Source organism: Homo sapiens, chromosome 2 (assembly GCF_000001405.40).
Source record: "Homo sapiens chromosome 2, GRCh38.p14 Primary Assembly".
Classification (NCBI taxonomy): Eukaryota; Metazoa; Chordata; class Mammalia; order Primates; family Hominidae; genus Homo; species Homo sapiens.
In genome coordinates this window covers 63,248,851-63,261,540 of record NC_000002.12, presented here as the reverse complement: position 1 = coordinate 63,261,540, position 12,690 = coordinate 63,248,851, and the positions used below count along the sequence as shown (strand labels likewise).

At 35.3% G+C, this 12,690-nt stretch overlaps 1 protein-coding gene across 20 annotated transcripts in view; it reads left to right on the top strand.

Annotated features, from left to right (window-relative positions):
- WDPCP (WD repeat containing planar cell polarity effector) overlaps window positions 1-12,690 on the top strand; it is a 721,268-nt gene that overhangs the window by 579,286 nt on the left and 129,292 nt on the right. For 13 of the 20 annotated variants that reach the window (XR_007076379.1, XM_047444629.1, XM_047444631.1 and 10 more), the window contains one exon: window positions 2,132-2,234. The exons of 2 other annotated variants lie outside the window; for them this stretch is intronic. Coding sequence is in view for 15 of the 18 variants with exons in the window: in XM_047444629.1 (XP_047300585.1) it covers window positions 2,132-2,234 (103 nt within the window). In the remaining 3 variants the exon portion in view is untranslated. Of the gene's footprint in view, window positions 1-2,131; window positions 2,235-3,076; window positions 12,649-12,690 lie in introns of those variants that run through there. 5 more of the 20 variants (NR_148704.2, NR_122106.2, XM_047444632.1 and 2 more) reach the window with 2 other exon arrangements.

Genomic DNA, 12,690 nt, shown 5'->3' with positions numbered 1-12,690 from the left:
ATCTACAATGAGATTTTACATACTTCACCTTTGAAAATGTCTTTCCACATATATAAGTACTGCCAAATACTGATATCAATCCATGAGTATATGCTTTTAATTGAGTATATTCAACAGACTGGCAGGCATTTTTAGAATTCTATTAGCTAAAAGGCTAGAATGCCTTTTAGCATGTCATTACATTGCAAATCACTTCCAATTAAAGTTCCTCAATTGCACAGTTAAATGGATTTTGGAATATGTAAATTTCCTTTGCACTTGCATCAAGGTCTGAAAAACACTGCTGTAGTTTGAAATCAGAAAATATATTGCTGAAAATTTGTGTAGGAATGGAGATTAAAAAAAAAAAAACAGAAAAAAAAAAAACCTTTCGACAGTGCAGGAAGTATGTGATGCAGCCTGACATTACTTGCAATTCAAACAATGTTCTCGTTGAAATGAAATGATTTTATCACAGTATGTTTCACGTATAAGCACTGTTTTACATTGTAACTTTAGCTTGAAACCTTTTCAAATCTGCAGCAAAAGCTAATTTCAAAGCCACTCAGCATTCAATAGCAGTGATTGAGCACAGTTCTTCCAACCATTAAAAATGTAAAAACCATTCTTAACTTGAGGACTGTATCAAAAGCAGGCTAGATTTGGCCCATGGGCCATAGCTTACTGATCCTTGGCTCTATAAAGTCTTTACCGGCCGGGTGCTGGTGGCTCACGCCTGTAATCCCAGCACTTTTGGAGGCCGAGGCGGGCAGATCACAAGGTCAGGAGTTTGAGACTAGCCTGATCATCATGGTGAAACCCCGTCTCTACTAAAAATACAAAAGCTAGCCAGGCGTGGTGGTGCGTGCCTGTAATCCCAGCTACTCAAGAGGCAGAGGCAAGAGAATCACTTGAACTGAAGAGGCAGAGGTTTCAGTGAGCTGAGATCATGCCACTGCACTCCAGCCTGGCAACAGAGTGAGACTCTGTCTCAAAAAATAAATTAATAAATAAAGTCTTAACCAATTATATTCCCAGTAAATGTTACATGCCTGTTTTCCCAAAACTTTGCAACCTGTAATTATTATTTACTTTTAAAGATTTATCCAATTTGAAATTACATTTTTCAGCTTGCATTTATTTGCATAAGGTCACATATCTTTTAATGATAAGCCATTTATATTTATTTCTTCACTGTAAACTGGTTGTTCATATTCTTTTCCCATTTTTATTTCAATAAAATTTTCATTCCAACAATCATTCCGCGTAGCAAAAAGAGATCTAAATCCTTTTTAGTGACTCCACTTGTTCAGTATTATTTTTCACTGCTTTCTCCCACACATCCAACACTCCTTCCATATCGAAAGATCTGCCATTGTCAGAGAGAGTTGTGTTTTCTCAAGCTTCTCTGCATATCTGCACCAGATGTCATTCATTCCCTGTCAGTCACCTTTTCTCCATTTTCCCCCTCTTATAGTGACTCTTATTCACCCTTCAAGACTACCATCAGAGATCAGTTCCTCCTCTTTGGCTCCACAGCACTCTGCACATATGTGCTATAAAATCTATCATACTTTTTTGTAATTAACTATTGGTTTACAGTGGTCTCTCTCCCCACTGGGCATACAGCTTTCTGAGATATGGTATTATAATTGATCGCCATACTCCAAAACAGTGCCCAGCAATTAGTCAGTACTAATTATTTGAGTTCAAAATACTAGTAATATTAATAATAACAAATATATGCCATATGCAGCAACAAATCTGTTTAGTATCCCTTGTATCGTGCTTAGCATAATATACAATTAAAATTTGAAGACACACTCTTGGATATTAATGTCTTACCAAAGAAAAATAGCAATTAACATTTTTATTCCCTGACAAAACTTTGTCAAACACTTTATTAAAAACTTGTATTTTCCCTCACAGCTTAAAATAATTTATTTAAATACTTGCCTTTAGTTATAGCTGTGATCTCCAATTCAGAAAAATTTGCTTATACTAGAAAACTAAGAAACTTAAAACACAGAAAAGAATATTTACAAACTGTTTCTATTTTGTAATCTGGACAATAAGTTTCCTTCAAAATCCTCCTTGTAACTTGGGCAAGGTTCATTTTGAATCAATCTTTTATTTTGCTTTATTTCCTCAGGATATTCATTACCTTGCACTAGATAAAGGTGAATTGGCACTAGCTGAAGTGGCAAGAAAAAGAGCTAGTGACATTGATGCAGAATCAATAACCTCTGGGGTTGGTAAGAATTAACGCTATTTTTAAGTGCTTTTTATTTTAATCAATAGTTAGTATCATTTCTATTTATGTTTGGAGGACATGGATGGTTAATTTGAATTACTTTGTTTGTAAAGACAGTGCCTTATAAAAAGAAGAATTAAGCTTTGACAAACAGCACAATGTTGATACACAAGTTGGAATTGTGTTTATGTGAAAATTTCTAATCAGTGATTACTATAGTCATCATTTAGCAAAAAGTCAAAAGGATATTCTTTTCATAAGATTTTGGGAGAAAGAGCTTAGTATTATCATAGTGCTGTTACTAAAATTAACCAACACAGAAATTTATATAATCCTTTATTTATACACAGACATGTCATTTCTCAAAAGAATTCTCTCCTATATCAGGCAAAGTATTTCATATGAGATTTTGGGTTTGATGGGTGATTGTTTTTGTTTAGAAGCTGCTAGAATCATTTTAAACCATAGTATTCTGAAGAAGACAGATCAGAAGCCTTAGAATGAATTTGAAAGTCCATTTAAATTTTATAACATAAAAAATGAAAGTTTATAAAAATTACTGTAATATCAATGCTAACATCTTTTTTTAAAACTCAGTTTATCTAATGCTGCTAAATTGAGCAATATTGATACTTACAAATCCAATTCCTTTTCTTCCTGAGTATTTATTATTCCTAAAGTAGGCAAAGAACCCTCAGGATTGTACTAGAATTCATTTTTCTGTGGAACTCCTCTGAAACAAATAAGTTTTAAAAAGATTTCCACTTTTAAGTGCTTGAAAAATCTTATACAAGCCTTTCCATTGACAGATCTTGTGCTTTGTTTTTGTAATGCTGTTTGCAGCCAAAGGGACCAATTGTCAGCTTCTCTCTGATGCCACCACATAGATCTAATCTTCAAGGTGGTACTGAAGGACTCAAAGCCATTCCAGCAGGGTAGCTCTAAACCTGAATACCAGGGCTGACAGGTACTAGCAAGATAATCCCATTCTCCTTCCCCCATCCTGAAAGAGTTCCAGATTGATTAGACCACTTTCATATCTCTGTTTCTAATGGATAGGGAATACTCACTATTAATGCAGTATTGGATAAGAATAACTGTAATTGACCTATCACTATATCTTGTTACTTTCTAGGGAGGGATATTAATGTGTGTACTACTACTAATAATAGCACTTAATATTTATTGAATGTTAAGTTACAGATAACTAATTTTCACCACAACTCTGTGAAGTAAGTACAATTTATATTTGCTATGAGAAGTCACTTCTAACTAAATGATGAAAGCATACCATGTTTATAGGAATGATGACGTTATATGATGGGGAAATATCCTCCATCCCTATCCCTCTAGCCATTTAGGAAAACAAAGCAGGAAGTTAAGTCCTAACCAATTTTCTGGGAATTTTCCTTAGTTGTCCTGTACCCTGCCTTTTATTCCAGGGTATCAGATATAATGAGGGCCATCTTTGCATTTTAAAGCTATTTAAAATTAGTAAGAGTGAAAGAGAATGTGAAGAGATTATCACAAAATTTCAGCAAAATGAAGAAACTCCCCAATTCACCAAAATGCATCTCACTTCCTGTGTATTCTCTGATGAGGTTACTGTGGCCAGCGGATAATTCCTAGCCAGAAAGCTTAGTGTACCCACTTTGAGCCCTGCGTCATTTCTAGCAAATATATTTTCACTGATACCCTGTGACTTCCCTTTTCTCAGCCTTGTCTCAGGCCTCAGCCTTTGACCTAGATTACTATGTTTTGACAAAGATACTATTAAATAACATCAGTAACTTTCAAGAGGTTGCCCTATTACATGAATGTTCTACTCCAGTTTTGCTGCAGAAAACTGGGTGATTCTCACTCATAATTCCGAATGGAATTAACAAAGAATTTCTTGTTTCCTCATCATGGTCTCTACCTAGTTCTTTTTTGCAGCCCACATCATGCTGGGGAAAGCTAATTTTCTTTCAAATTCCCTCAATTTAATTCAATTATTCTCTTAAACTTATCCCAAAGCTGAAAGTTATTAAATTTTTGGCTTTCAAAGTGGTTCTTTGATGCAAGCAAGGAGCCAAATTATGTGAGATAGCAAAAGAGTAGTTCCATTTACATGGGAAAGTCTGTAAAAAAGCATCAGACATAAATACTGCCACCATAGTTAAAAGCAAGAGGCGCCAAAGGAAAAGCTGGATGATGATAATCTGAACAATTTGGTAATTTTTTAAACTTTTTATTGAAGTCTAACATGCATACAGAAAAGTGCACAAAACATAAGCATGTGACTCAATGAATTTCACAAAGTGAACACATCCTTGTAAACAGTATCCTGACCAAGTAACATATGTTACCAGGACCCCAGAAGCCTTCCTATACCCACTTCAAGATGCTATAATCTCAGCCCAGCTGTCCAGATTTGTAACATTATAGACTAATTTGCCTTTTTTCAAACTTAAATGGATTCATACCTATATTCTTTTGTATTTGGCTCCTTTTATTCAACATTATGAATCTGAGAATCTTTCGTATGTTGCATATAGTTATAATTCTTCCACTCTTCTTGCTGTATAACAATATTCCAATGCATGAATGTACTTCAATTTATTCTACTTTAGATGGATATTTGGGTTGTTTCAAGTTTGGGGCTAATGCGAATAGTGTTGCTATGAACATTCTTGTGTATGTCTTTTAATGGACATAGGTAGGCAGATCTGTTTGACTGTGCTTAGAAGTTGAACTCCTGTGACGTAGGATATGCAGCCTTAGTAGCTACTTCCAGTTTTCCAAAGTAGTTGTTAACAATTTCCCTTCTCACCAGCAGTATGTAAGAGTTCCAGTTTTGGCCATCCTCAATGATGCTTGATATTGTCTCTCTTTTTTATTTTAGCCATTCCGGTGGAAAAGGTATTGTAATTTTGTATATGTGACAGTATAATATATAGGCTGTTTCTGGATCATGTTCTATTTTATTACTCTGTTTGTCTATACTTGCACAAATATCTCACTGCTTTAAGCAACTCTGGCTGTCAATGTTATTATTTAGTAGTGAAAATTGCCCAGCTTTGTTCTTTAAGATAGACTTGGCTATCCTTCCATATAAATCTCAAAATCAGCTTATACCCTGACTCACTCAAGGAAAAAAAAGAAACAAAAACAGTGGGGGCTGAAATTCTGGTTAGAATCTCATTTAATTCATAGATACATTTGGGCTGAATTTATTTCTTTATAATATTGTTTTCCAATCCATGAATATGATCTATCCCTCCATTTATTTAGGTCTTCTCTATTTCTTATGAAAAATGTTTTGTAGTTTTCATAGTAGTGGTCTTCCACATCTTCCTTTAGATTTAAGTATTTCTTTTTCTCCTTTGTATGTGGTAATCTTATTTTTAAATTTCATTTTCTGTTTTATTTCTGGTATATATACAATTGACTGTTGTATATATTGACCTTATATCTAGCAATAAGTGATAAATTCGCTTATTAATGCCAACAGTTAGTAAATTCTTTTGAATTTTCTGCATCCACATCATGTCGTCTGGAAATGTGTTAGTCTCTTTGCATTGCTATAAAGGAATACCTGAGACTGAGTAATTTATAAAGAAAAAAGGTTTATTTTGGTTCAAGGTTCTTCAGGCTATATGAGAAGTATGGTGCTGGCATCTGTACCTGGTGAGGCCTCAGGAAGCTTCAAATCATGGTAGAAGGTAAAGGGGGAGATGCCATATCACATGGTAAGAGGGGAAGAAACAGAGAGAGGAGGAGGACCCAGGCTCCTGTAAACAACTAGCTCTCATGTGAACTAACAGAGCAAGAACTCAGTTCTTACCATGGGGAGGGCACCAAGCCATGTAAGAGGGATCTGCCTTCATGACCCAAACACCTCCCATGAGGCCCTACCTCCAACATGGGGGATTACATTTCAATATGAGAGTTGGAGGGGACAAACATCCAAACCATATCAGCAAATAAGGACATTTTAATTCCTTCCTTTCTAGTTCTTATGCTTTTTACTTCTCTTTCCTTATTATTGCACTGACTAGAAGCTCTAGTATAAAGATAAGTAGAAGTTGTGACCGGCATTATTTTCTATTTCTTGATTCTTAGGGAAAGCTTTCAATAATTCACCAGTTAGCATAAAGTTTTCCCCAGGTTTTTAATAAACCTTTTATTCATATTAATAAAGTTCCCTTCAGTAACTAGTTTGCTAAGAGTTTCTATCATGAATAGGTATTGAATTTTATCGAATACTTCTCCTGTGCCTATCAAGATTATCATGATCTTTCTCCTTTGTTCTATTAATATCGTGAATTGCATTGATTTTCAAATGGCAAACTAACCTTACGTTCCAGAATAAATACTTCTTAATTGTGATGATGTATTTTTACATATTCCTGCATTTCATTTACTATTTTTAAATGTTGGCATTTACATTCATGAGGGATCAGACTTACAGACTCATGGTTTTGCTTCAATATCTCTGCCTAGTTTTGATATCTAGATTATTTTGACCTAATGCCTAAATGTCAAACATCTAGAAAGGATACATTTGAACATGTAATAGTACTTTATGATCCAGCTCTTTATATATGGCATATGTAACACTTCCTACAACTTAAAAATTTTACATTAATCTTGACTGTATTAATGTGAATATTTTGGTTGTAACATTGTATTAAATTTTTGTAAAATATTATCATTGGAAGAAACTGGATAAAAGAGACATGGGACTTCTCCATTATTTCTTAGAACTGCATATTAATATATAATTATCTTTAAAAGTTTAATTTTTAAAGTTTATATTAATATAGTGTCCTATGTTAAGTACTGTGACAAACATTACCTTATTTGGTCCTCCCAAATTATCTCTAAAGGAGAAACTACTGTATTGGTGAATTTTTTAGAAGTTTTTTTCTTTAATAATTTCAACTTTTATTTTAGCTTCAGGGGGCATATGTGCAGGTTTGTTACATGGGTATATTGCATGATGCTAAGATTTGGGGTATGAATGATCCCCATCACCCAGGTAGTAAGCAATAGTACCCAAGAAGTAGTTTTTCAGCCCTTGCTCCTTGCCCTTCTATTAGTCCCCAGTGTTTATTATTCCCATCTTTATGTCCATGTGTACCTAATGCTTTACTCCCACTTACATATGAGAATATGTGGTATTTGGTTTTCTATTACTGAGTTAATTCACTTACAGTAATGGCTTCCAGCTACAACTATGTTGCTGCAAAGGATGTTATTTCAGTCTTTTTTATGGCTGTATAGTTTTCCATGGTGTATATATACTACATTTTCTTCATTCAATCCATCATTGATGGGTTCCTAGGTTGATTCCATGTCTTTGCTATTGTGAGTAGTGCTGTGATGAACATACAAGTGCATGTGTCTTTTTGGCAAAACAATTTATTTTCCTTTGGGTATATACTCAGGAATGGGATCAACGGGTTGAATGATAGTTCTCAGTTTTTGAGAAATCTCCAGACTGTTTTCCACAGTGGCTGAATTAATTTACATTCCCACCAGCAGTGTATAAGCATTCCCTTTTCTCCACAACCTCACAGCATATGTTATTTTCTGACTTTTTAACAAAAGCCATTCTGACTGGTGTGAGATGGTATCTCATTGTGGTTTTGATCTGCATCTCTTTGATTAGTGACATTGAGCATTTTTTCATGTTTGTTGACTGCTTGTATGTCTGCTTTTGAGTAATGATTGTTCATGTCATTTTCATGCTTTTTAATGGACTTATTTGTTTTTATCTTGTTGATTTCAAGTTTTTCATAGATTCTGCTTATTAGTCCTTTGTTAAATGCATAGCATAGTTTGCAAATATTTTCTCTCATTCTGTAGGCTGTCTGTTTACTTTGTTGATAGTTTTTTTGATGTGCAGAAGCTCTTTGGTTTAATTGGGCCCCACTTGTCAATTTTTGTTATTGTTGCATTTATTTTTGAGGACTTACTTAATCATAAATTTTTTACCAAGGCCAATGTCCAGAAGGACATTTCCTAGGTTTTCTTCTAGGATTCTTATATGGTATGAGGTCATACATTTAATTATTTAATTAATCTTAAGTTAATTTTTGTATATGGTGAAAAGATATGGCTAGCAAGCTATTCCAGAACCATTTATTGGATAGGGAGTCCTTTCCCAACTTCTTTTCTTGACTGTCGAAGATCAGATGCCTGTAGATGTGTGGCTTTATTTCAGTGTTCTCTATTTTGTTACATTGGTCTCTGTGTCTGTTTTTGTACTACTACTATGTTGTTTTGGTTACTGCAGACTTGTAGTATAGTTTAAAGTTGGGTAATGGTGATCCCTCCAGCTCTGTTCTTCATGCTTAGGATTGCTTTGGTTATCTGGGCTCTTTTTTGGTTCCATATGAATTTTAGAATGGTTTTTGTTCTATTTCTATGAAAAATGACCTTGGTAGTTTGATAGATACAGAGTTGAATCCATAGATTGCTTTGGGCAGTATGGACATTTTAATGATATTGATTTTTCCAATCCAGGCACGTGGAAGTTTTTCCATTTGTTGGTGTCGTCTGTGATTTCTTTCAGCGGTATTTTGTAGTTCATTCACTTCCTTGGTTAGGTGTATTCCTATGTATTTTATTTTGTTTGTGTATTGATATTGTAAGTGGGATTATGTTCTTGACTTGGCTCTCAGCTTGAATGTTATTAGTATACAGAAATGGCACTGATTTTTCTGTTGATTTTTGTATCCAAAACTTTACAGAAGTCATTTTTCAGGTCTAGGAGTCTTCTGGTGAAGTCCTTAGGGTTTTCTATGTACAGAATCATATCATCAGCAAAGAGAGATAATCTTTTCCTATTTGGATGCCTTTAATTTCTTTCTCTTCTCCTGATTTCTCTGGCTAGGACTTCCAGTACTTTTTTGAACAGGAATGATGAGTGTGGGCATCTTTGTCTTATTCCTGTTCTTAAGGGGAATGCTTCCAGCTTTTGCCATTTAGTATGATGTTGGCTATGGGTTTGTCATAGATGGCTCTTACTTTGAGGTCTGTTCCTTCTATGCCTAGCTTGTTGAGGGTTTTTTATCAAGGAGGATGTTGGATTTTATCAAAGGCTTTTTCCATGTCTATTGAGATAATCATATGGTTTTTGTTTTTAATTCTGTTCATGTGGTGAATCACGCTTATTGATCTGCATATGTTGAACCAACCTTGCATCCCAAGAGTAAAGCCTGCTTGATCATGGTGAATTAACTTTCTGATTTGCTGCTGGATTCAATGTGTTAGAATTTTGTTGAGGATTTTTGCATTTATGTTCATCAGGCATATTGGCCTGTGGTTTTCTTTTTTCATTGTGTCTTTGCCAGGTTTTGGTATCAGGGTGGTTCTGGCTTCATAGAATGAGTTATGAAGGAGTTCCCTCCTACCTGATTTTTGGAATAGTTTCAGTAGGATTGGTACAAGTTCTTCTTTATACATCTAGTATAATTCAGCTGCAAATCCATCTGGTCCGGGGCTTTTTAAAAATTGGTAGGCTTTCTGGCTAGGCACGGTGGCTCACGCCTGTAATCCCAGCACTTTGGGAGGCCGAGGTGGGCAGATCATGAGGTCAGGAGATCGAGACCATCCTGGCTAACACGGTGAAACCCCGTCTCTACTAAAAATACAAAAAATTAGCCAGGCATGATGGTGAGTGACTGTAGTCCCAGCTACCTGGGAGGCTGAGGCAGGAGAATGGCATGAACCCAGGAGGCAGAGATTGCAGTGAGCCGAGATCATGCCACTGCACTCCAGCCTCGACGACAGAGCGAGACTCTGTCTCAAAAAAAAAAAAAAAAAAAAAAAGGTAGGCTTTTTATTATTGATTGAATTTCATAACTTGTTTATTGTTCTGTTCAGGGTTTCACTTTCTTTCTGGCTCAATCTTGGGAGGTTGTGTGTTTCCAGGAATTTATCTATTTCCTCTACATTTTCTAGTTCATGTGCATTCAGATGTTTGTATTAGTTTCTAAGGATCTTTTGTATATCTGTGGGATCACTGATAATATTACCTTTGTCATTTCTGATTGTGCTTATTTAGATCATCCTTTTTTCCTTTGTTATCAAATGAGTGGTCTATCATACCTGTTTATCCTTTCAAAGTATAAACTTTTGGTGTCGTTCATTCTTTGTATGGATTTTTGGATCTCAAGTTCATTTAGTTCTGCTCTGATATTAGTTACTTCATTTCTTCTGCTATCTTTGGGGTTAGTTTATTCTTGTTTTTCTAGTTCCTCTAGGTGTGATGTTAGATTGTTAATCTGAGATCTTTCTAACTTTTTGGTGCAGGCGTTTAGTTCTATAAACTTTGGAGAGATCTTTTTTGTATAGGCAATGAAATGAGGTTACAGTGGAAATGCTCCATAAATTGCAAAAAATTGAGAGCCAGTGCTCTATAGCAATTCTAATCAGTTTTCTATGGATATAGTTCCCAGATTGAACTCCTTAATATAATAGTGCCATAAAACACTCAGTAAAATAAAATATATATGGCTAAATACTTGAAGGATATATTAAGACAAACTAATTTCTTTAAAAATTTCTGGTGTACATGAAATGTTCTCAGAAATCACAAACTTAACTGTTTGTTTATCTTAACATTTCCAAAAATTTTGACCATACAACCCTCATCTTTCTCATTGTTCTAGGCAAGAGCTATAAATTCACAGAACTTGAGATTTTTATAATTCACATGGGGAAACTTATAGCTTAATTGCACAGCTGTAAATCTTTATCCTTACTAATAGGCTTAGCATGATGGTACTAGCCATTAAAATAGTAATAATCATTCAATTGAGGTAAAGAACTCAGATATTTATACTGCTATTATAGTAGTCTCCCCTTATCTGCTAATTTCCTTTCTGTGGTATCAATTACCTGCAGTCAACCACAGCCCAAAAATATTATATGGAAAATTCCAGAAATAAATAATTCATAATTTTTAAATCGTGCACTGTTGAGTAGTGTGATGAAATCTCACACTGTCCTATTTTGTTTTGTCCAGGATGTGAATCCCTTTGTCCAGTGTACCCACACTGTATATGCCACCTGCCCATAAGTCACTTAGCAGCCATCTTGGTTAAAAGATGGACTGTAATGGTGTAGCACTGCTTGTATTCACGCAACCTGTATTTTACTTAATAATGACTCCAAAGCACAAAAGTAGTGATGCTGGCAATTCAGATATAACAAAGAGATGCATCTTATGGTGCTCTCAGTGAGTAAAAAGGTGAAAGTTCTCAACTTAATAAGGATATATATCATATGCGGAGCTTGCTAAGATCTATGGTACATTACATATGAATCCTCTATCCATGACATTGTGAAGAAGGAAACAGAAATTCATGAGTTGTGCTGTTGCACCTCAAACTGCAAAAGTTACAGCCACAGTGTGTGATAAGTGCTTAGCTACGATGGAAGTCATTACATTTGCAGGTGAAAGACACAAACAGAAAGGTGTTCGAATTGACAGCCATCAGATTCGGTAATATCTGCTATTTCAAGCATTCACTGGGGGTCTTTGAACATATACCCCATGGATAAAGGAAGACTACCATACCTGGAAAATTCCTCTCCCCTCAGCCTCTTCCTTCTTTCAGTTCCACACTCTGAGTGACATACAGCCAAATTTCAGAATAGGAAGCTCTTTGTCCTTGTTACCCCACAGTTAACATAAAAAATCAGAGGTAAAGACATGTGCAGCTGGTAATGTCTCAGACTTTCTTGACAAAACTGGAGAGATTAAATAAGCATTCTCATGAGGGGTTATATTGCCAAAACCCATGATCACTGTAGAGGCTAGATAAACATCTTTATTAGGGATTATCTATGCTACAGGCATTGTCTAAAGAACTTGCTGCAGAACACCTTGGTATGTAGGAGTCAAACATCCGTCATCATGTCAGTTTTGCTTCAAGATGACATCACTGTTGCCATGCAACAGGCCATTTTCTTACAGAAATTAAGGCATTCAAAAGCAGCCATGTATACAGGGGAATTGAGAAAGCCACACACAGGCCCAGTCAACACACATTTCAGAAAAGACCTGACAAGACCATAAGCTTTTACCTCAGGCCAATTCCTATGCTCAGAGCAAACCTAGCTAATTAGTGGGACTGTCCCGGCACACAGCTAGTCTGCAAAGACCGGGAAAGATGGCTTTTTCAAATGCCCAGTTTCACACACACACACCCCACAAGGCATACAAAGAAACAGGAAAACATGGCCTATTCAAAGGAGCAAAATTAATTGGTAGAAATCAAACCTGAGAAAGCACAGACATCTTACTAACTAGGCAAAGTCTTTAAAACAGCTGCCTTAAATATGTTCAAAGAGTGAAAGGAAACCATATAAAGAACTAAAGAATATTAAAAAAAAAACACATAAGAACAAAATGAAAATATCAAAAAAGAAAAATTATAAAAAGGAACCAAACAAATCCT